The sequence below is a fragment of the Homo sapiens genome, chromosome 6 (assembly GCF_000001405.40).
Source record: "Homo sapiens chromosome 6, GRCh38.p14 Primary Assembly".
Taxonomy (NCBI): domain Eukaryota; kingdom Metazoa; phylum Chordata; class Mammalia; order Primates; family Hominidae; genus Homo; species Homo sapiens.
In genome coordinates this window covers 169554621-169577826 of record NC_000006.12, presented here as the reverse complement: position 1 = coordinate 169577826, position 23206 = coordinate 169554621, and the positions used below count along the sequence as shown (strand labels likewise).

At 45.3% G+C, this 23206-nt stretch overlaps 1 protein-coding gene across 15 annotated transcripts in view, besides 3 other annotated features; it reads left to right on the top strand.

Annotated features, from left to right (window-relative positions):
* Nucleotides 1-23206, top strand: part of WDR27 (WD repeat domain 27) — a 275610-nt gene that overhangs the window by 124203 nt on the left and 128201 nt on the right. Inside the window, exons 26-27 of one of the 15 annotated variants that reach the window (XR_007059230.1) lie at nt 17900-18782; nt 18950-19508. The exons of 12 other annotated variants lie outside the window; for them this stretch is intronic. Coding sequence is in view for 2 of the 3 variants with exons in the window: in XM_011535682.4 (XP_011533984.1) it covers nt 17900-18049 (150 nt within the window). In the remaining variant the exon portion in view is untranslated. Of the gene's footprint in view, nt 1-5286; nt 5409-17899; nt 19509-23206 lie in introns of those variants that run through there. 2 more of the 15 variants (NM_182552.5, XM_011535682.4) reach the window with 2 other exon arrangements.
* Nucleotides 13349-13849: an enhancer, noted in NCBI's record as "H3K4me1 hESC enhancer chr6:169964074-169964574 (GRCh37/hg19 assembly coordinates)". NCBI's record gives its function as "activates a minimal SCP1, AML or CMV promoter by ChIP-STARR-seq in naive H9 embryonic stem cells {active_cell/tissue: H9 hESC(naive)}" and the evidence as "EXISTENCE:reporter gene assay evidence [ECO:0000049][PMID:30033119]".
* Nucleotides 20730-20889: a silencer, noted in NCBI's record as "silent region_17795". NCBI's record gives its function as "represses an Ori minimal core promoter by ATAC-STARR-seq in GM12878 lymphoblastoid cells {active_cell/tissue: GM12878}" and the evidence as "EXISTENCE:reporter gene assay evidence [ECO:0000049][PMID:35858748]".
* Nucleotides 21385-21545: a silencer, noted in NCBI's record as "fragment chr6:169956378-169956538 (GRCh37/hg19 assembly coordinates)". NCBI's record gives its function as "represses an EF-1alpha promoter that drives an FKBP-Casp9 reporter gene in an ReSE screen in HepG2 liver carcinoma cells {active_cell/tissue: HepG2}" and the evidence as "EXISTENCE:reporter gene assay evidence [ECO:0000049][PMID:32094911]".

The window sequence follows — 23206 nt, the reverse complement described above, 5'->3', positions numbered from 1 at the left end:
GGGAGGAGACCAGTGTCCCAGCGCAAACCGGCAGAAACGCAAATGGTTTAAAAGCTGCTGCGGCGAATGTCTTGGAGGGACGCTTGGACGCTTCCCGTCGCCGCTGTAACGAACCACTCCCATGGGCCGCGGAGGAAAAGGCCGGTTTCCCGACTGCAGTTCCGTGGTGGGGAGGCTGCGGGGCTCACGGGCTAAGCTCCCCACGCAGGGCCGGTTCTTGGCCTTTTCTGGCTTCCGGAGGCGCCGTCGTCCTGCTTCGGGGCCGAGTTCGTCTCCCGTTGCTCACTCCGACCATCTCCCCGCCCGTCCTCCACGTGTGGACCCTTTGTCCTTATCCTGCCCGCTGTGGTTACACCTGGGACATCCAGAACCATCTCCCCGTCTCCAGGCCCCCGACGCAGCCATACCCGCCAAGTCCCCTTTCCCTGTGGGCGAATCTGTGGCCGCCCGTTCGCAGATGCCCGGACCGTGGTGTGGACATCGGGGGGCGCCATTCCTGGCTCGGCGCGGACGCCCCCTCCTCGGCGCGGGCCTGCCCGGACCCCGCCCTCAGCCACCACCTCCGCGTCCCATTCCCACTTTCCCAGGTTGCCCCTGGTGCCCTCGCAGCACCCACCCGGCAGAAAATCACCTGTGGACTGAGCCGGCGAGTTGGTGCGTCTTTCCGTGGGCGCAGGGGTCTCGTCTCCCCATCACCGCTGGCGTCCCTCTTGTGGCCCACGTAACTCTTTTTTTTTTTTCCTTTTCTTTTTGAGCATATTTGAGAGGATCCTTCTTCCTTGCTACCAATTAAGCCAGTTTACATTCACATAAAATACATAATCGCTGTATGATTCACGAATGTATAATTACTTAACTGTGATTTTCATAATTCTGTCTGTGCTAATTATAAACACACTCTTGAGGAAAGTTACCATCTTTCTTTCTTCGTTTCCTCTATTAAGAAAGTACCCTGTAAAGTACTTGGTACATTTTGAAAGATCCGTGAGTTCCAGTCTTGAAAAATAATTTCTTTCCTTTTCCTTTTCCTTTTTTTTCTTTTCTTGTCTTTTTTTTTTTTGTGAGAAAGGGTCTCACTCTTGCCCAGGCTAGAGTACAGTGATGCAATCACAGCTCAGTGCAGCCTCGAACTCCTGGGTTCAAGCAATCCTCCTGCCTCAACCTCCTAAGTAGCTGATACTACAGGCATGCACCACCCCACCTGGCTCATGTTTTAATTTTTATTTTTAATAGAGATGGGGTCTCACTATTTTGCCCAGGCTGGTCTCAAACTCCTGCCCTCAAGCAATCCTCCCACCTCAGCCTCCCAAAGTGCTGGGACTACAGGTCTATATGCCACCATGCCTGGTCTGAAAAATAATTTATTTTATGGTAATCTTCATCTTTGAGTTTTGTTATATGACAGAATTTCCCGAATACCAGAGGCTTTCCCTGACACTCATGGAAGGTCATCCAATTCTGTCTGGCATCCCCTTCATCTCGGAGCATGGCCGACTGGTGAAGTCCCACCAGACCTGCTGGCTGCCATGGGGCAAGGTGGAGGCTGGCCACCATCCCATACCCCATGGTCATGCCCACCATGAGGCCCAGCCCAGCCCAGCAGAGTGGATAGTGAGTCCCCTGAGGGTGGGTGGACACAGAGAAGGAATATTTCCAAACATGAACACACTCTACCACATTTCATGTTGTAATGTTATTGAATTTTAGGAGTGGTGTTCATCTGGTGCTGTCTCTGTCTATAGAAGTATCTAAAGCAGGCCCGTTACTCCAAAAGCTTTGCAGTATGCAGTTTTTCCAGTCATGGTTATCAGACACGTCTCTGAAATAGCAACGCTTCTTCAGGAACGCATGGCAGATGGGCTTAGAAGCCTTCATTTTGCAGGAAAACATTTATTTGATTTTAAGATACACGTTATCCCTTCACTAACATTTGTGAAATTGTTGAACCTTAAAATATTCATCCTTCCTTTTTAAAGTAGCATGTTCTTTCTCTGTTCTGTTAAATCTCTGGTGCACCCTACACATAATGTTGTTTAAAATCATGCCCATAAAATGAAACATGTGACTCAAGCTTTTGTTTTAAGAAAATCTATTAGATGGTGCATCAAAATAATGATTTGAAATTTTTATTTTAGGAAAAGACCCTTCTAAGTTCCAGCCCAGGCATATTAACATGTAAAGTGCATGTGTTGGCCTAGAGAGCGGGCTGCGTTATTGAGGAGAGTAGGATGTTAGCTCACACAGGGCAGCCCCTCCCACCAGACAGGAAACTCAGGCTGCCTGCCTTCAACAGCTCAGGATCAGTGTTGGGAGCGATAAGACCAACCTCCCAGTAGGAGGATAAAACACATGTTACAGAAACACGTTTGCAGAGAAACGGAATCAGTAGGTGATGGTGGGTGGATGGATGGATGGATGGATGGATGGATGGATGGAGAGAGGGAGGGATGGATGGATGGAGAGAGAGAGAGGGAGGGAGGGATGGATGGATGGAGAGAGAGAGAGGGAGGGAGGGATGGATGGATGGAGAGAGGGAGGGAGGGAGGGATGGATGGAGAGAGAGGGAAGGAGGGATGGATGGATGGATAGAGAGGGAGAGAGATGGATGGATGGATGGGTGGATGGATGGATGAAATTTTTTATGTGAATTGGCTCATGCAGTTGTGGAGGCCGAGAAGTCCCAAGATCTGCTGTCTGCAAGCTGGAGCCCCAGGATAGCTGGTGGTGGTGTTCCCGCCTGAGTCCAAAGGCCTGAGAATGGGGGAAGAATTGGGGGGTACTGGTTTAAGTCCCAGCCCAAGGGCAGGAGAACACTAGTGTCCCAGCTCAAAGAGGCAGATAGACAAATACCAGGGTGAAGTCCCCTCCTCTGCCTTTCTGTCCTGTTCAGGCAGGATTCGATGGATTGCATGATGCCCACCCATGCTCCCTGCTTCCTCCCTTTCATCTCATGCCTTTGAGTGACTTCCCTGATCTGAATACGTGCCTGCAGAGATAAGCTATTGGCCTTCTAGCTCTCCTTTCCTGGATGTGTGGCTGGCCTGGCCCCTCCACAGTGGCTTCTGTGGTGTCGGGACTGAGGGTGAGAGCACTGGGCTGTGAGAAAGGGTTGGGGACAGGGCGCCGGCCCCCACCACACACTCACCGAGTCCTGGAAGCTGGCACCCTCTCCATGACTTCAGGCTCATGAACGCACTTCGTGAAAGATCTGGCACTGCAGGATGAGCTTCCCACCTCTCGCTGGGACCGAGGCTGGCACGTTCTGGGAACCCTGCTTTCGAGTGTGTCACCTGGGGCGGATGTGGCACTCACCGATCTTGTTTCAGGGAACTCACATCACTTTTGAAAAGCGGGAGACAGATTCCATGACTTGTTTTTGTTTTGTTTTAATACATTTTAATTGTGAGAACGATTATCCCCTTTCCAAAACTAAAGTTTTGAGCCTCTCAGAGTAAATTTCTAGATACGCTTAAAAAAAAGTAATGTTTTTCATCACTGTTACTGCTCAGTTGTCAAAATAAGACTTGTGAGTCTTTGGGAAGAAGAGGATTATACTTGTACTTACAAAATTATTCTAACAATGCCTGTGGCTAAGAGGACCCTCAAAATGAGTAAGGAACTGTAACAGCTCACAAGGGACCACAGGCTCTGCAGAGTGGCTTCGGAATCCAAGACTCTGAAGCACACCTGGGTGTCCTGCCAGGAACTGCAGCTGCGCGCCACATGCGCCCTGTCAGATGTGACTTAGGGATGCGTTGTCAGCTTCAGTTTGTTGGACATCTGAGGACAGTGGTATATTTGCCATAAGATATCAGTGTAGCTGTTTAACTGCTTAGGATGGGAACACAAATTCAAGAAGCTCCATAGTTAAATTATCCTGGCTGAGATGGTAGCCAAGCAAGACTTATTTCCAGCAAAAAACTAGCAAGGCAGAAGTATCTCAAACCACAGATGCAAAAGACGAAAGAAAGCTGTGATGTAACTGATGGGTCCCTGAGTGTGAAAGTGTGGGCTGCAGAGGGAGCCTACTGTTCACACAGGGAGTTCAGGAAGAACAGGAAGCGTGCAGGTTAAGTATGGAGAAAGCTGCTTCACACGCGGATACACAGAGATATAATTTATTGGAATGGATAGCAGAGTCACAAATATCACATTACCTTATATTATCAAATTGATTTTATATTACTATCGCAATCATCAATTTTCTATTGTCAGTTGTAAAATAGTTACAGTCATCCCTCGGTCTACATGGGGGATTGGTTCCAGGTCCCCCGTGTGCTCCCAAATCCTCACACACTCAAGTCCTACAGAACCCACATAGTCTGCCCTCCATTTGCCTGGGTTTCACATCCTGGGGGGCTGTATTTTTGATCCGAGTTTGGTTGAAAAATAATCCATCTATAAGTGGACTTGCACAGTTCAAACCCTTGTTCAGGGGTCAACTGTAATGAAATAAAAGAGGATTAATGTAAGATGATATAAAAACTTTTCATATTGTATTGGGTAGTTGGGCTTTATTTTCAATTTTGCATTTCTCAGTTGTGCAGGATTTATCATAAGACTTGCTTTGGTCTTTCCAGCTATACTGAGTTACATCTAAACCATGTCAGTACTGTTACCCTAGAACACAATGTAGAAACTTGGGGGGTTCTCGGAGAGTTTCAGTGAAAGACAAGACACAGACGAAGGCGGAGGTCTGCGTGCAGAGCCCAGGTGCACCCCGGGAGGCTCGGGCTGCAACACAACCTCCTGGGAAGGGAAGAAAGCAGGAGTGCGGAGGGAAGGTCTGCAGGGTGGCGTGGGGACGGCTCTGTTTTGGGGGCTGGTATGCGGCGCATTGACACATGCAGGAAAGGCAGAAACAGACATTTGCAAACTGATTTATCTATAAGTAGTTATATCATGTAGAGTGGACATTGACATGGTTTTCAATATTTTGGTACTATAAGTAGTGTTTTGATGTATGTCTTTGGGCATAAAATGTTTTTTGTATCTGGGTTTATTTTCTCAAGATAGATTACTTTCTCAACAAGTAGTATTACTGAGAAAAATAAACTTTTAAAGGGTTCTGCTATAGACAAATGCTTCTCAAAGTGTTTCCTCTTGTTTGCTTCCTCACCAGCTTTGGTTGTTCACACTTGCATTACGTTTGTTAATTATCAAGAAACAGTAACTCCCGATTTTAATTTACTGCTCTTTGAATACTAATGAGATTGCACATTGTCCCACAGGCTACTAGGTATTGGAATTCTTCTAATTTTTTTTTTTTTTTTTTTTTTTTTTGAGATGGAGTCTCGCTCTGTCGCCCACGCTGGAGTGCAGTGGCACGATCTCGGTTCACTGCAACCTCCGCCTTCCAGGTTCAAGCAATTCTTCTGCCTCAGCCTCCCGAGTAGCTGGGATTACAGGTACCCACCACCACACCCAGCTAATTTTTGTATTTTTAGTAGAGACGGGGTTTCACCATGTTGGCCAGGATGGGATGGTCTCGATCTCTTGATCTCGTGATCTGCCCACCTCGGCCTCCCAAAATGCTGGGATTACCGGCGTGAGCCACCACGCCCGGCCCAGAATTCTTTTAATTTTTAAATTGCATGTTTATATCCTTCATCTCTTTATACTTCAGACTCAATGTTTTACCTAATGATTGCTGTAGCTTTTAATTTAAAACTAAAATTTTCATCTTTGTATTTACACTATATGTTTCCTCTAGATTTGGTTTGGCTTTTTGTGTTTTGTTTTCTTTTTCCAGTTTGATTTATTCTGATTACCTTAGGCCTAGAAAATTTTTCCTCCAGAGATCTGTGTCTCTGCTGAAATTACAGAACTTTTAACATATTATAATAATTTTTAATTCCTGACTGACAGTGCCAATATCTGGGTTATTTCTGAATATAGTTCTGTTAATTGCTCTGTCGAGAGACAGTTGATCTCCCTCCAAACCTCCCCTGCTCTTTGGTGTGTGTTGTAGTTTTTTGTTTGTTTGTTTTAGACAGGGTCTTGCTCTGTCACCCAGGCTGGAGTCCAGTGGTGTGATCACGGCTGACTACAGCCTCAAACCCCCTGGCTCCAGTGATGCTCCCACCTCAGCTTCCTGAGTTGCTCGGACTGGCAGTCTCAAGCCACCACCCCCGACTAATTATTTATTTATTTATTGTTTGTATTAAGATGGAGTCTCACCAGTTTGCCTAGGCTGGCCTTGAACTCCTGGGCTCAAGCGATCCTCCTGCCTCGGCTTCCCAAAGTGCTGGGATTGCAGGTGCGAGCTGCCGCACGTGGCCCAATGCAGTTTTTGAGTGGTTGCTGGGTGTTGAATGTGGAACGTAAATGTTTATGCCAGGATAGCATGGCTCTTTTCCTGCTAATTGCTGGTTTGAGTCCGAAAAGTTGGGAATTCAGCTGCATGTCGTTCACTTTATTAAGACTTTGATGAGAGTGGGGTTATCAGAAGTAATCTGTGTGAGTCATTGTACAAATAGAAATGCAAAGACAGCATTGTTAACTTCTGGGAAACTTTAAATCTCCAGTATTCTTCATTGAGTCATCTTTTTATTTATTTTTTTTTTAATTTTTTTCTGACTAAGGTATGTGGGTGTGAAATTTAAATCTGTTTTATTTAGGCTGTATTACTTTGAGAGTTGTGGTTTAGCTTTGCCAGGGAAAAATGACATAAGCATATACCTGGAGGAAAGGTTACATTCCTTGGTTTTTACATGGGATAAAAACCTGTGATATTTGTGATCACTGTATCCGCTAATTTATAAATTCAGGAGCAAGATTGCACTATTTCTTTCTAAGAACTCATAATTGAAACAGTCTGCTCTGTGGTGATGCTTGTATACAGAGAATACCGGGCAGGGAGTGGGCCTGGCCGAGAGGGCAAGGCTGAGGTGCAGCTCCTGCTGTCCCCTCCTTCCTGGCCGCCACGGGAGACTCCTGGCCTGCGTCCTGTCTTATGAGGAGAGATTTCCTAAATAGAGCTTTTTTCTTTTTTTTTGAAACGGAATTTCGCTCTTGTGGCCCAGGCTGGAGTGCAATGGCACAATCGCAGCTCACTGTGACCTCCGCCTCCCAGGTTTAAGCAATTCTCCTGCCGCAGCCTCCCGAGTAGTTGGGATTACAGGTGCCCGCCACCACGCCTGGCTAATTTTTGTATTTTTAGTAGAGACGAGGTTTCACTATGTTGGCCAGGATAGTCTCCAACTCCTGACCTCAGGTGATCCGCCCGCCTAGGCCTCCCAAAGTGTTGGGATTACAGGCGTGAGCCACTGCACCTGGCCAGTTGAGCTTTTTAAAGATAACAGAAAGGACTGCTGAGAATGAGTAAACCTATGTCCGTAAAGAGAATTGCATGATTTACTGCAAGTATTCCTGGGAGTGAAGCATCACGTACACACTGCTGGTCTCGTGTCCTCCTGAAGATAGCCCCTCACACTTCACAGTGGTTGGAGAAGGTTCTTTTTCTCTCCTGTCTTCCCTCTGGGTCCCACCTGGTCTAGCATTTTCATCTGTGTTGAAATTTGTTTTTCATTTCTGTTTTAGTCCTTGTGTTTGTCCTTGTTGAAAGTTAAGTTGTCAGCTACCCAGGTCTTTCTCGTTGACTAAACCACCCCCCAACCCCATGCTCCATGAAGAGCACCTGTGGTTTCCTTGTGGCCATGAGTGTTGTGGTGGGACCAGCATCAAGCGCAAGAGATCTGCCGAGTCCACGTGGATACACTATGACCCCGCAGACCATGAAGGTAGATGAGGAGGTAATGGCATTCCGTGGTGCCCAATGTGATGGCATCAGGGTTCTTCCTAGCAGCATGGAAGACACTCCTGCCCTCAAGAGGGCTAAGTCCAGTAAAACCCAACCAACAGGAGATAGTTGGGCAGGAAGACTCATTCTGAGTGTAGATGGCTCTGGGTTTTGTGAGAGGGTGAAATCTTTGGTCGTTAAACAATTCTAGCTGCCCTAGAATGGTAACCCCAAGTCACTTCAGACTGGAAAAGATTTTAGTGGCTAGAATTAAATGTAGAGATGGCAAAATACACCAAAGCCACAGCATTAATAGACTTGCATGAATTTAGGAATAACCTGGAATAATTAATATTTAAGGCATTTGCAATGCTTTAAGGATGTTGATATTTTAAAAGATCTGATTCTAATTTGACATCTGTATTGACCTTGGACTTGTGACTTCTTAGTTGAGAAAAAAAGGAAAATATTACTAAGTTTATAAGTATTTAAATTTTTAAGAGAACTTAAAATTCACCATATTTATGTTTGCTTTGTTAGATTTTTAATAATTGATTAAGAACTCAGGACCATCTTACATTTTATTTTTGTCATTTAAGTATTCAAGAAAATCTTATATAGTACATTTAAAATGAAGCTTAACAATTTTAAAATACTTTAACAAAGTTGTAACTTTAACTCATTGCCTGAGGGATTTAATCTGTTCATTGTGAGTTAACTGAACATGAATCAAAGGCTACTTTGCATGTGATTGTTAAAATATACTAGATTTCTAAATGTAATAAAAAATATTAAATAGGATTAAAGGCTTAGAGACTAGGGTTTTAAAACGTTAAGTGTTTAATGAATTGAATTTTAAATTTATAAACATCAAAATAAACCATAAATAATTTTCCTGTGTACAAAACCATCTTGGTGCATCAGAAACTCATGCTGCAGTAGCATCACGGTCCCACGGTTGTGTGTTGGCTGTTTGCTTGCCACTCCAACCTCTGTGCATTCCTGCTGTCTTTGTGGAATTGTTTGCTGCGTTCTCTGTTGATGGAAGAGGGGCTTCAAAGCTTTTGGGTGGGCGGCGTCTCTTCCTCTTGGGAGCGAGCAGGGACAGCAAACCAGGGGCATGCGGCTTCCTTCTAAAACCATATGGCACCACAGCCCTACGATTGATACTGAGACACGGTACCACATCCCACAGAGAAGTTGCACAGGGGTGAGGGGCATGAAATGAAAGAACAACCCATTTCCTCTCAGTTCTGTTTTCTTCTAAGATTTGAAATCTTTAAATAAAACAGCTAAGCATACTGGAAAACAGTGGAGCCTCTATCAGGTGTTGCATGGCCCCTTAATCCATGAGACTGTGAGGTCATCAATCCATCCGTTTCCATCTGTCCTTCAAGAATATGTAGGATTGGAAAGTTGGGTCTTCCCTGTTTGTCAACCAATTAGCTTAATTTTATTTTCTTTGAAAAGAGAAAGTGAGCATTTTAGGGTTTATGTTCTCTTCTTCAGCATTTTGAGAATTTGTTTTCAACTGGGTCTTCTACATCATCCACTTTATTTCCCACAGCTGCAGGTCCCTACTGAGCTTAGTGACTTGAAGTAGTGAGTGCAGTGACTTGAAGAGTGAGCTTGTGTCCTTACTCCCTGGGCATGGCTGTCTCATTTCAGCTGTGCCTTTCCTGTTGGCTCCTACAGATTCTTGCTTATTTTTCATGGAAGACATGTACTAGATGTGGAGCAAGTATGTTATAAGAAATGTTTTTTTTCCTTCAGAAGTGGTTTTCAGTGTTTTTTTACTTTGAAACCCTTTGTCCAAATGGAACCTTGCACAATCATGGGGGCTTTCTGGCTGGGTGGTGGCAGAGCCTGGGACTCACCTTCTGCCTCTTTCTCCTTCAGTCTGTGGTTCCTGAGTGTGGTTCCTGAGTGATTGCTGTCAGACTCAGGCTTCCACGGACCTGTTTGAGAACCACTGGTCTCCCCAAGCCCTGCTGAGGGAGACGCTCTTCCTGGTGGAGCTGACGCTCCCTCTCCTTTACAGTGCGGTTTCGGCAGCTCCCTTGGGTCTCTGTTTACTCATCCTGGAACACAGATGCTGCTTTTCTGCGCTGTGTTCTCAGCACTGGAGCTGGCGGCCCTTCCTCCCAGCTTTACGTCTGCAGAGTGGCTGGGGTACAAGGGCCAGCCTCTCTAGGAACACAGTGGACCGCCGCTCTCACTCCTCTTCTGTGGGATTCCGACTTTATTCTCAGAGTTGCAGCTTCCAAGTTGGTGTGGAAAGAGAGGTGCAGGTCCTGGGAGCATCCTAAAAAGCAGGACTCGCAGCCCTGGGTTTTGCCTCTTCTAAGACAGGAATCCGCTGTGGGGCTGAAGGGGTTGGAGAGAGCTTCCAAAATTTCTTCCCGGCAGTACAGTTTTATTGTTTCAGAGCGTGGCACAGGTGTGGGCCACACTGTGTTTCTCAGCACGCCGCCTTCAGTCTTGCTTGTGGTTATTGGAAGCACCTCCTAGGCTCTTGCACTAGAGCGTCTGCGCCTGGTGCTGTGTGTGAAGTTCTCATCTTTTGCTGTTGGGGAGCGTCAGGGAGCCCCCCAGGAGTTCCTGCCCTGGCTTCATTTAGCCAGGAAGTCTCTATAAGAAGCCAAGCTACTTAGAACTTGAGGACATCTTACTGGGAATTTCACACTGGCCAGAAAGTGATACTCCTAAACTAGTCAGTTCCACAACAGGCACATGCACTGTTCTGCCACGCAGACCGTCTGTGAGGGTGCCCTTCTCTGTAACTGCGCCAACCTGGACTCCTCACACCTGCAGGGAAGGGCCCCGTTCAAATGGTGTTTATCACGGACAAAGCCAAAGTGTGCGTGACTGACCTACATGATGCCAGATGTGTGGCATCCCGGGTCCTCCCCAGCAGCACCGATCACCCCAGGTGTCACTGTCACAGCCCAAAGTGCCTGACTCATTTCCAAAGGTCCCCCAGACAGCCCCACCTGGCTCGGGCTGCTGCCTATCAGACTCTGGGGCACGCAGACATCGTTGTTGGCCTGCTTGGTGCCTGAGGCTCTCAGGCATTGCCCAGCACTTGAGGTGTCTCTATGTGGGATGCCTCCCCTCTGCCCTGGCCTATTATGCATTTTTAATAAATGGAGCCAAGTAGAGTAAATATTAATTTTGTTTTTACAGTTGAGTTCCCAGTTTCAGTGTCCACACTTGTTATCCACTGTCTCAAATGCACATCTGTGCATGTTCTTAGTCAAGCACAGACTATGGCTGATTTTGTTACCAAATTCAGTCCTGATACTGTCCGAATCCCCCACACTGGAATCTGATTATCCTTTTTAGAAAGCGTTTCTACAGGATGTATGCGTGGCAGCCTCGCAACACCCAGGGTGAGAGTGAGTGCTCCAGTAGTCTCTAACGTTGCCTCAACTCCAACAGGCCCCGAAATTCAGGTTCCTTGGCTATTTGTTTTAAACAATACAAAAATACTCAGTACATGCCCATCTTAATAAATGACAGAACAGTGAGAACCAATTAATGGTCATCGTCAAAATATTTATGTCATTTCTCATCACGTGACATAGTTTGAGTTGTCATTTTGTTTCTCATCCCGTGACGTGGTTTGAGAGTCTCTTCGAGGCCCCCGGGACAGTGGCCACTCTCAGGGTCTGTGGCAGGTGCTGGAGGGCCGGCCCCTCTGTGGGTTGGGGGCTCCCTGCCAGGAGCAAGGGCTGTCAGACCACCTTGCCCTCACCACTGCCCAGGTGAGCAGGGCTGCTGTCTAGCCACAAGCTTTCTTCCCTGCTGTCACTCTCAGAATTGACTTGAGGAATTTTAGAAATCAGAATCAGAGCTTTGTCTAGTGGTGCTATTGTTTACGCTACAAAATGTTTTATTTCTTACATAATTGATCTGGTTTCTTCTAACGAGTAACAATACATTACAAAATGTTTTATTTCTTACATAATTGATCTGGTTCCTTCTAACGAGTAACAATACATTACAAAATGTTTTATTTCTTACATAATTGATCTGGTTTCTTCTAATGAATAACAACAGACAAAACTGAGCTATTGAAGACACATTGATCATAAAAGTCAAAGCTGAGCTCATAATTATCAGTTAATTAAAAAATGGGGCTATAGGTGCAGTGGCTCACGCCTGTAATCCCAACACTTTGGGAAGCTGAGGCAGGAGGATCGTTTGAGCCCAGGAGAGCAGTCTGGGCAACATCGTGAGACCTGATTTCTACAAAAATGAAAAATCAGCTGCGTGTGGTGGCTCATGCCTGTAGTCCCAGCTACGCGGGAGCCTGGGAGGTCGATGCTGCAAGTGAGCCAGGATTGGACCACTGCACTCCAGCCTGGGCAACAGAGCGAGACCCTATCCCTAAAAACAGAATAATTTTAAAAATGTTACTTGGTTTACAAAACTTGTTCTTTAACATTGACTCTTTAGGAACAGATTAAGTAAAGGAAATGAAGTGGCTTGTGTGCATGCTCGAACCCTTCCAGCATCTGTGTGATTATGAACACACATTGTGAACGGGACACTCAGTTTCTCCACTGCGTAAGACAAGCGGGGAAATACAGATTTCCAATACCTGGTGGGGGTGTTTTTAGGGGATGAGACTTCAGGGTCCCTTTGAAATATTAAATGGATCCCAGATGCGGGGCAGTGTTCCGCCTTATCTGAAATACAGTCTGGATTTCCTTAGATGTTTCTAATTTAGAATATTATGTAGAACTGCATATTAAAATTTAGTCTTCTGGTGAGTGACTAAAGTTTAATCTTGGTATAAAATTTTGCCCCCCAAAAATTAGGCTTTGCATTTGGAAACTGGCCTTCAGTCTCGGCAGAAGCACACACAACAACGTTAGCAGTTTGTTCACTGGGAAGGGAGTACTAGGTATCTCTTGATTCGCAGTTTCTATCCCGTGCTGGTCAGAACACATCTCCCGCCGTGTAAGCAAGGTGGCGGGACTGCACTCCCAGGCCGGGAGGCTTCTGAGGCTTGGCTAGACTGGGCTCAGCTCGGCGAGGCTTCAGGCTGGTGGAAGGGAGTGCTCGCTGACAGCGTACCTGGTGGGGGTCTCCCCGGCTCTCGTGTGCTGGTCCCTGGCATGGTCACTTAACTCCCGACCCGTTCTGCACCTGTGGTTGCGTGTGGGGTCCACATGGGTGTTGGCATGAGGACGCGGGCGTTCATTACTTCACTCACTCACGCGTTTGGTTACCTGAGGCACATCAAGGGCTAGCTGACGGAATGGGGGCAGGGCCAGAAAACTGGGCTGGGAGATGGGAGCCATGGAGCGTTCCAGTGCTAGAAGAGAAGTCAGGGCCACTCCCAGGGCAGATGGGTGAGCCTGAGAGTCTCGTGGGAGCCAGTGTGAGCACCGGGCTCTGTCCAGGTGCTGAGTGGTAGAGCTGCCTCCAGCTGGCGCTGTCCTCCAGGGAGCCTCACACCTTACTCGCAGCCCAGCACACTCTCCCCAAATGTGGAGGGTGGTCAGCCACGGAGAGGTCAGGAGGTGGTGAGGGAGGGACACGGATCCAGGAACCACAAAGCAGTGCAGGCTCTCACAGCCTCGTGTTGCCTGCCGCTGCCCTGTGCCACCGTGATGGTGAATACCACGTGCCAACTTGACTGGATTGAAGGACGCAAAGTATTGTCCTGGCTGTGTCTGTGAGGGTGTTGCCAGAGGAGATTACCATTGGAGTCTGTGAGCTGGGAAAGGCAGGCCCACCCTCAATGTGGGTGGCCACCATCTAATCAGCTGCCGGCTTGGCTAGGATAAAAGCAGGCAGAGGAACGTGGAAGGACTAGACTTGCTGAGTCTCCTGGCCTCCATCTTTCTCCCATGCTGGATGCTTCCTGCCCTCGAACATCAGACTCCAGGTTCTTCAGCTTTTGGACTCTTGGACCTTGGACTTACACTAGTGGTTTGCCAGGGGCTCTTGGGCCTTCGGCCACAGACTGAAGGCTACATTGTTTGCTTCCCTACTTTTGAGGTTTTGGGACTTGGTCTGGCTTCCTTGCTCCTCAGCTTGTAGACAGAGCATTGTGGGACTTCGCCTGGTGATGGTGTGAGTGAATTCTCCTAATAAACTCCCCTCCATATACTCATCATCTATCCTATGAGTCCTGTCCCTTTAGGGATCCCTGACTGATACAGCCACTGTCTTGTGAAGGCTGGATCATGTCACGGATGTGATGTTTTTAGCGCCTCTGAGCTGCTCGAGAATTGCAGACTCTTCCTTTTAAACCTCCACCCACCCGTGTCCCCCTTCAGGTGTGGGCTCAGAAATCACAAAATTAAGGCAGACTCTGAATTTGGAAAGTAAACTTTCTTATCCTCATGGGTTAGATTTTTAAATTGTAAAATAAGAAAGAAAATCTGTTTTGATTAAACTTATATCTTAATGATGTTGAAGCAGAAGAGACGGCTGTGGCTGCATCCCTGTGGCCAGGGCCTTCCTCTTGTCTCTCGTGAGCACAGTTCCACGCAGCCTCCTTCACAGACATCCCCTCTGCTCTCGAATACAGCTTTTCTTTTAAGGTACACTTGAATTTTAAACTGAAAATAACCTTTGGTTTGTTAGAGACTCACGGATGTTAGTTCAGGCACATGTTTGGAGTTGAAGCCAAGTTGGGTCTGACTGGTGTGAGCTGAACACTTCAGTGTTCAGGGTCTGGCTTGGTAGAGACCCTGTTGGGGTTGTGGGCTCCCGTCAGGACTCACGCGTGGTTCAGCTGCTACTTTTTTGGCTTTGTTTTGTCTTTTTCACCGACTCCATTTCTTCTGTCCCCGACCCTGGCTGCAGCGGAGTTGCAGGAAAGAGGTGGAGGAGGCTGGGTTCAACTGCGGCTGGCAGAGCAGCCTCGGAGGCCACAGTGCAGGGAGGCGTCCAGGGCGGACTGAGCAGGAAACCTTTCTCCATGTGCGGGTTTCTCTGGGGTCCGCTGTCAGCTTTATTGTCTCCTCACTCGATGCTGCCTCTGACTTTATCATACTTTTCCTCATCTTAAACTGTGATCTCTGATTATTTTCCAAAAGCCCCAGCGTGTCTCCTTTAGACCCATTTGCTCCGGGCATTCCCCCGGCAGCGCTGCTGTGCTCACAGTCCGGACTCTGAGCCAGGCCAGGCATTTCCTTCCCGGGCTGTGGCCTCCTCTCCTCCTGACTTGTCACCTGCAACTCCCAGAGCCTGAGCAGGAGCCGTGGAGCCCTCCTGCAAGCTCATCCTCTATCTCATCGGCCTCCTCACCCCTCGCTGTTCCTTATTTCACTTCTGCAGATTGTACAGATTTTTTCTTTTTTAACCAGTTTCTATGTCTCAAATGTCCCTGAGCCTAACCTTCCGTCCAGCTCCCACTGGTCTCACTGTGATGCCCATGTGCCCTCCCCATGTCCCCTCCAATCTCCCCTATCCTGTGCCCGGGGCACTCACGCAGCCTGGCACAGAGTGGAGAGGCTGGAGCTTGTCATCCTGCAGAGTTGGAGTCACCTCTGTGCCTCCCTTGGGCCCCCCTTCTGTTCTCAGAAGCCCCTGACACAGCTGTAGGTGCTCTACACTCCCCCATATGCTGCCTTAGGGGATCCCCCAAATTGTGAAAATGTTTATGTACTCATTTAGTTCAAAATACTTTTGAAATTCTCTTTTGATTTTTGTCATTGATTCATGGGTTATCTAAAATTAGTGTGCTGTTTTGTTTTCAAATGTTTGAGGTCTTTCTTCAACTCTTATTGATTTCCAATTTAATACCACATGGATAGAGGAAATACTTTGCATGGCTTGAATGGATTGCTTTTGCTTTGTGTTCTGTGTACACCTGGAAAGAATGTAGACTCTGCTGTTGGCGGCGCAGTACCCGAGAAACGTGTCGTGTTGGTTAGGTGTGTTCCTCAAGTCTTCCGCGTCCTTATGTGGTATGTGTTTGTCCTTTCCAGGATTGACAGCGGCACTGAAATCTCTGACTATACCTCTAGGTTTTCTCTTTTCCTTGTAATTCTATCAGTTTTTTGTTTTGTTTATTTCAAAGCTACTTTATTAGGTTTGGGTTATTATGTCCTCTTAATGAGTAGACACCTTCATTGTGATGACATGGTGGTCTTTATTCCTGGGAATATTTTTTGCTTTGAAATATACTTTGTCCGATATTAATATAGCCACTCTAGCTTTCTTTTGTTAGTGTTAGGATGGTATATCTTTTAAAATTATTTGTTTAAACCTATTTGGGTCTCTTTGTTTGAAGTGCATTTCTTATAGGCTGTATTTAATTACATCTTGATCTTTTATGCAATTTGACTATTTCTGCCTTTTAATGTGTGGGTTTAGACCATTCATATTTAATGTGATTATTAATGTGATTATGTTTCAAACTCTGTCTTGCTTATTCATTTTCTATTTGCTCCTTCTGATCTTTGTTTTTTTATTTTTGTGCTTTCTTTTGGCCCCATTAGATATTTTTTGTATTTCCATTTATCATCTTTTTTTTTGGCTTCTTAGGTGTAACTCTTTGTTTAGTTAATTTGAGGTTTCTTTAATTTAAAGTATAAATCTTTAGCTGTGGTATTCTATTGTTAAGTGATATGAAACCACTTCATCTCACAATAGCAAACTTCCATTTCTCCTCTCCAGGCTGGGTGCTATTATTGTCATGCATTTTACTTTTACAATGTTATGATCTAAATGTTTGTTTTCTGCCCCCCAAATTCATATGTTGAAAGCCTCTCTCTTAAGATGATGGTGTTCAGAGGTGGGACCATCAGGAGGTGATGAGGTCATGAGGGAAGAGCCTCCTGACAGGAATTAATGCCCCCATAAAAGAGGCTTGAGGGCACTTTGTTGGCGCTTTCTACCATGTGAGGGGCAGTGAGAAGGCACTGTCTATGAGGAGGAGGCCCCTCACCAGGCACTGCCAGCACCTTCATCCTGGACCTCCAGCCTCCAGGACGGTGAGAGATAACTGTCTGTTGTTTACAAACCACCCAGTTTATGGCATTTTTGTGACAGCAGCCTGAATGGACTAAGACCACATTTGTTCTAAATTCCACACTAGATCATTATCAATTTTGTTTAAACAGTTACCTCTTAAAAATATTTAAATAATAAGAACAAAAATTCTATATATTTGTCTATGTAGTTCCTCAGCAAACCTTTTGAACTTTGATTTTCTTATCTCTAAAATTAGGTGTTGGATTATACGATCTTTCTGTCCCTTAAGTAGGTCTCGCCTCCACAGAGTGGATTGATATGGTGTGACACTCTGTGAGGGGCGTGTGTGTATCTGCATGGGGTAGTATAAAATGTGTAGTTTACATTTTTACAATAGTTTATGTTTTATAAATATGTAATATATAAAAACATTAATAATAAAGCAATCTGATAATGATTGTATGTACTGGATATGTAGCTGAGGATGATGGGGTAAAGTGACCAAAGTTAGTGTCCCATCAACAAGAGGGCCAGCATCAAGCCCATCTTCAAATTCAGAGCCACAAGGCCCTGGCCCTTGGACCTGGCTGTGCCCGACACCTTGGTGCCTTCCCGTCAGGCTTGGGCAGCCTCCCTGCACACTGGCCTTGCCTGGCTCTCACTTGGAGTTTCTTGTCTGGGCCATGTGCACACACCTTACTTCTTATTTGTAGCCAAAGACAAAATGGTTTGAGGTTGTATTGGTCCATTTTATGCTGCTGATAAAGACATACCTGAGACTGGGGAGAAAAGTAGGTTTAATTTGACTTGCGGTTCCATATGGCTGGGGAGGCCTCCCAGACATGGCGGAGGGTAAAAGGCACTTTTTACATGGTGGCAGGGAAGAGAGAATGAGAGAGAAGCAAAAGCAGAAATCCCTGCTAAAACCATCAGATCTCGTGAGACTTAGTCACTATCACGAGAACAGCACGGGAAAGACAGGCTCCCGTGATTCAGTTACCTTCCCCTGGGTCCCTCCCACAACTTGTGGGAATTCTGGGAGATACGATTCAAGTGGAGATTTGGGTGGGGACACAGCCAAACCATATCAGAGGTCAATTTAAACATTTACTTGCACTGATTAGGTGCTTACTGTGTCACAGTCACCATCCTTAAGTGCTTTATGTAATCATCACAGCCTTAACAAGCGGATACCTCATTACCTTCCTATCGCAGGTAAGGAAACTGAGGCATAAAGAAGTTAAAATGCCTGAACAAAAGCACACAGTGGGTAAGTGGACACGCAAGGCTTCGCACCTCATTGATCTGACTTCAGATTCCATCTTCTTGGCATGGTGCCCACCTACGCACCACAGAGCTGTATAAGGGCAGAAGAGAGGAGTGTGTTCTGCTGCCACCAGCAAGCACTGGGAATCATCTTGAAGAAAAGCGGGGTGAGCTGTACGGAGCCTTTCGGGGCAGATTCAAGAGCAGAAAGCCGTGTCTTTCTTACTATGGACACTCGGGAACTGGAGAAAGGTTTCCTTCTCAAATTTATTGACTAGAACTCAGTTCCAAATCAACATTTCAAAAAAGTTTCTTATTTCTGTGAGAGGCAACATATATTATATTTCTACTAATGTGGCATTAATGCTTGTTTTTTTCTTTTTTAGTCCCTGAGTGGTTTCAAATGTGTGTTTTCATGTACAATTTATAGTTCTGAAGAGTGTGTCATTTCCAGATATTTCCTGACTGTCTCATCAATGCCCACATCATTAAAGTTAATTTCATGCCTAAGGAATCTACACTACCTTCCATTTGGAAAATGTTCTGCAGATTCTAGCAAAGTCAACAGCCAAACCGTGAATGTAAAGGCTGCCGTACAGACTACAGAAGTAGGCAGCTTGCCATTGCCACGCTACCTACTTTACATTCAAGTGATTTATATAAGAGCCAAAAAAATGTGCTCCACATAGTATTGATCTTTCACTGCCATGCAGGGATGAGCTGTCCAGATGATAAATTAAGACAATGAGAACATAAGGGATTGGCTTCAAGATTTGTGGTTGCCGACGGAATTTCTTCAGCAGAAAGAGAAGGAAACTGAACTACGGAACTGGTAGGATATTATTATTTTTACTGTAAACGATCCAAGCCTGTCAGGCCTGTAACTTCCAAGTGCAATGTATTATGATCTACAGTGTAAAACAAAAGATTCTGAATTTGAGTCAGTAATAGCTGGTTTATTCCAGGATTCAAATGTAAGTAACTTACTCTCACCAACAGTAGTCAAAATGAGAAGCCTGCTATGCTGTGGATTTATGGCTCATGGACTCTGGATGAGTTCTGCATTTATCTTCGTGGAGTGACGAATAATTGAATTGGAAAATCATGGCATCCAGAATGGAACTGCATAAAAATCTGCTGGAGTGTTTCCGAAAAAATGAAGACCTCTGGGCCCTTATCCCAGACTTTCTATTTCAGTGGTCCATGGAAGAGCCTGCAAGCTTGGCTTTTCCATCTCAGGACTTAGCTGCAGGGTCTCAGGGCACACTGCAGAGACTCGTCATCCTGTTGCCTGGAGGTGTGCACTGGCTATTTGCAGATGAGCCGCCATCCCGATGACTGCCCAATCCTCGGCTGCCTGTGCTCCGGGTCTCCATTCATTTGACCAGCAAGACCCACATCCAGCAGCAAGGACTCCACCGGGATGGGAGCCTGGTGCTTATTCTCGAACTCAGCAATCCAGCAGTGCACCTGGCTCTGTTTCCAGCCTGGCCAATGATATTCTAAGCATGAATTATTACATATTACTAATTATTAAAAATTAAATGTAATATCTTGAGCATGCCCTGTTCAATTGATGCTTCCTGAGGCCAGAATATCAACTGATCTGTTAGAATAGCAATCAGAAGAGGCTAAATTCAAATATGATCAAAATCAGTAATTAACATACTCTGACACAAGATCACTTCAGTGAGGAGTTTTTATGTGCAGAAGCCATCGCTGCTTGTGGGAAATAGAAATGTCAAAGGGAGTATTGGACTTAGACCAATTTCTGATGAAATGCAGGGCACACCTTTTTGTTTGAACCCAGAAATTTGTGGATAGTGTTGGGAAATATAGTGACCTGATTTATGCTCTCATAGTTCTTAGCCATCATAGAAACACTATAAAGTTAAGAGGGCTTTATAGACACTTAGGCTGCTATAAAAAATTATCCCATTTTTATATTCAAGTCAATATGTTTTTTCAAGTCTAAAACAGTGTACAGTATAGAAAAGGGCAATGAAGACAGTCTCTTATTTTAGTGATAATCTTCTGTCCTGATAACTTATTAAGTGGAGGGGAATGCAAGTTTTTAAAAAATACTTTGATGTTTTTATTTTTATTGAAAAAAATGTTAGAGACAGCATCTCCCTCTTGCCCAAGCTCAACTCTTGGGCTCCTGCAATCTTCCCACCCCAGCCTCCTGAGTGTCTGGGACCACAGGTGTGGGCCACCATGCCCAGCTTATACTTTGATGTTTTTAATCAAAATAAAAGAATTTTGGAAGAAGAATTGAAAAGGAAAGATTGAAGATAAAGAAATAAAAGTATTGGCAGTTCATCTGCAGAGGCACTGAATAAGCACATGTTCTAAATCATGTAGGGTGAGGGCTCCTTTCTTTGTCTGGGGTTACAATGAACAAATGAACAGCCAGAGGCCCCAGTCCCGCATCACAGGTGCACCTGCACCGCACCCCCCACCTCAGGGTCTTCCCCACGTCCCCAGTCAGTCCTCATTTCCACTCTCCAAGGTGGAAACTGCTCTTGTGTCCATCACAGACTGGCTTTGTCTGTTCCGGGTTGTCACATGAATGCCATTTGGCAAGTTTTCTTCTCTGCTTGGCCTCTGTGTAATGATTTTGAAAATCCTCCACAATGTTGCACGCATTCTGGTTCCTTCCTTTATATCACCGAGGCATTTTCCCCTGTGTGGGAGAAACACAGTTTACCCAGCCCTCAGTTGGGGATCTTTTGATGTTTCCAGTTTTTGGTGATTACAAATAATGCTGCCATAAAAATTCTTGTACAGCTGTTTGTGTGAACACATGTTCTCGTTTCTCTTGCGAGAGACACGAGTGCAGTTGCTGAGGGCGATGTGTGCTTAACCGCAACGTAACTGCCTCTCAGTTTTGCATGGGGTTGTACATCTTGACACTCCCCAGCAAGGTATGAGAGTCTCAGTGCCATCATCTCAGTTACATGTGGTTTCTTTAGTCTTTTTAATTTTAGCCTTGAGGTGGTTGCGGAGTAGTATTTTCATTGTGGTTTTAATTTGCATTTCTTTTGTAATGAATGATGTTGAGCACTTTACCATATACTTATATGCCCATTTTTAATTGGGTTCTTTTCTAAATTATTGAATTATAGAACTTTTCTTTTTTAATGTATTCTCAGCTCTAGACAGGTATTGCAGTATTTCCCCTAATCTATGGGTTGCTTATTGGTGTCATCATGGCATCCTTTAATGAACAGAAATTTTACATTTTTATGAAATCTAGTTTTTAATTAAAATTAGATTTGCTTAATGCTTTCTGTGGCCTAAGAAACCTTTGCTAACCCAGAGACTGAGAAGATATTCTTCTGTGTTTCCTTCTAGGATGTTTGTGGTTTTTTATTCCATTTGGATCTATAACCCGTTGCTACATGACAGTATTAGCAAAACTGCTGTGGCTTGAAACCACACCCTCTTTATCTCACAGCTCCTGTGGGTCACGAGTCAGGGTTCGGGGGAGCTGGGTCCTCTGCCCAGGGTCTCACTAGGCTGAGACCAAGCTGTTGGCAGGGCCTTGGTTACCTTCTGAGGCTTCCCTGGGGACAGATCTGCTTGCAAGCTCACCAAGGACTTGGCAGATTTTAATTCCTTGTGACTGCAGGACTGAGGGCTTCAGTTCCTTGCTGGCTACAGGGTGGAAGCCATCATCAGCTCCCTGAGGCCCCCAAGGCTCCTACCTCACAGGTAGGAGCCCAGCACAACCACATGCCTCCTCACAGCCAGCAAGCGAGAGAGACTCCAGCAGGATGCAACTGTGTGCACAGGCATGCCTTGGTTCATCACACATGCTGTGTTATATGCCACAGGCGCCTCCCATGCTCACAGACAGGGGTCACATGAGGGCATGGGTCCCTCCTCTACCTCCATCACAAACTGATTTTGGGTGGGGAGAAAGGTAAGGTAAAGAGTCATTTTTCCCTATATGAGTATCGGTTTGCTCCAGCAACACGTGTTAAAAACAATTTCCTTTTCCCGCTAAATTTCACTGGTGTTCTTGGTGGAACTTCATTATCTCTGCAAGTTAAATCTCTTGCTTAATAATCTTATTGTAATTTCAGAAGATATTTCAAGTGAATTTGGTTTATTCTTCCAGTGGTATGGTTGTTATTAGTTATATAGTTGCCTAGTGAAGAAAATTATTGTCTCTCCTAATGTTTGGTAATCTTACGGGCTCCATTACAAAAGTGAAGGCTCACTAATATTATTCTGGAAAATTACTCACTTAAGATTGGTTAATTATATTGTAATTGACCTCATGTGTCATATGGCCATAGTTTTGGTGTGTTAATTTACAATTTTTATTTTTCCCCTAAGAATTTTTGTGAGAAATATAAATGATGATTGTTTTTTCATCCTCTTCACTGCCTGTAGGATTGAGTCCTAACAAGGCTGAGCTCGTGCTGCCAAGTCTACCTTTCCGCCTGGTCTCCCTTCCATCCTTCTCTGGTGCACTGGTCCCCAGAGCCCTCTCCTCCTCTGGGGATGAGCTCAGCCTGGAGCAGTCTGCTCTTCTTTGCTTGGAATGTGTTTTTCCCACTTGCTCTTTTCAGACTCCTCCTTAGCCCTTCGTCCTCCTTCAAATGTTGTCCTCTCTGAGACATCCCCTGAAATGAAGTTAACGTCAGACCTTGGTGTCTCCATCGCAGGCTTTAGATGCTGATGTGAAGAGGACCCGGGCATCACATTGTAAACCGTCAACTTATATATCCTGTGTGCCACTGGAATTTTAGTTATTCAAGGGAAGAATAGTTTTTCATTTTTATTCTTGTTAGTCAGCCTAATCATCAGTATAGATCAGATGCTCAGTGAATGCTGGTGAAATAAATCAATCCATGTTCTTATGTTATAACTAGTTATTTCTAACAACTTTACTTATGTTAATATTGCCTAGAAAGTACAGTATTTTTCATCCAAGAGTATTTATGTCATCGTGGAGGCAAAAATATACATCTACCACACAGAATTCTAGAAAACAAAATGTATGTAGTCAATTTACTTTTAAAACATTTAAAATGATAAATCACCAGAAGCCAAGCGAGTTTTATGCATAAAAGTAGGCTGTAATGTAACCTAGGAGGTTACTAATGCACTCGTGGGGAAAGTACAGCGAATCCCCTTTTACGGTTGCACATGGTGGTGGTTGACCAGCACAGAGGGTGGTGGTGCAGTCATTGCTTGAGCTGAAACGCAGAAGAACCGGGTGGCACAGAAGCCACACGGGAA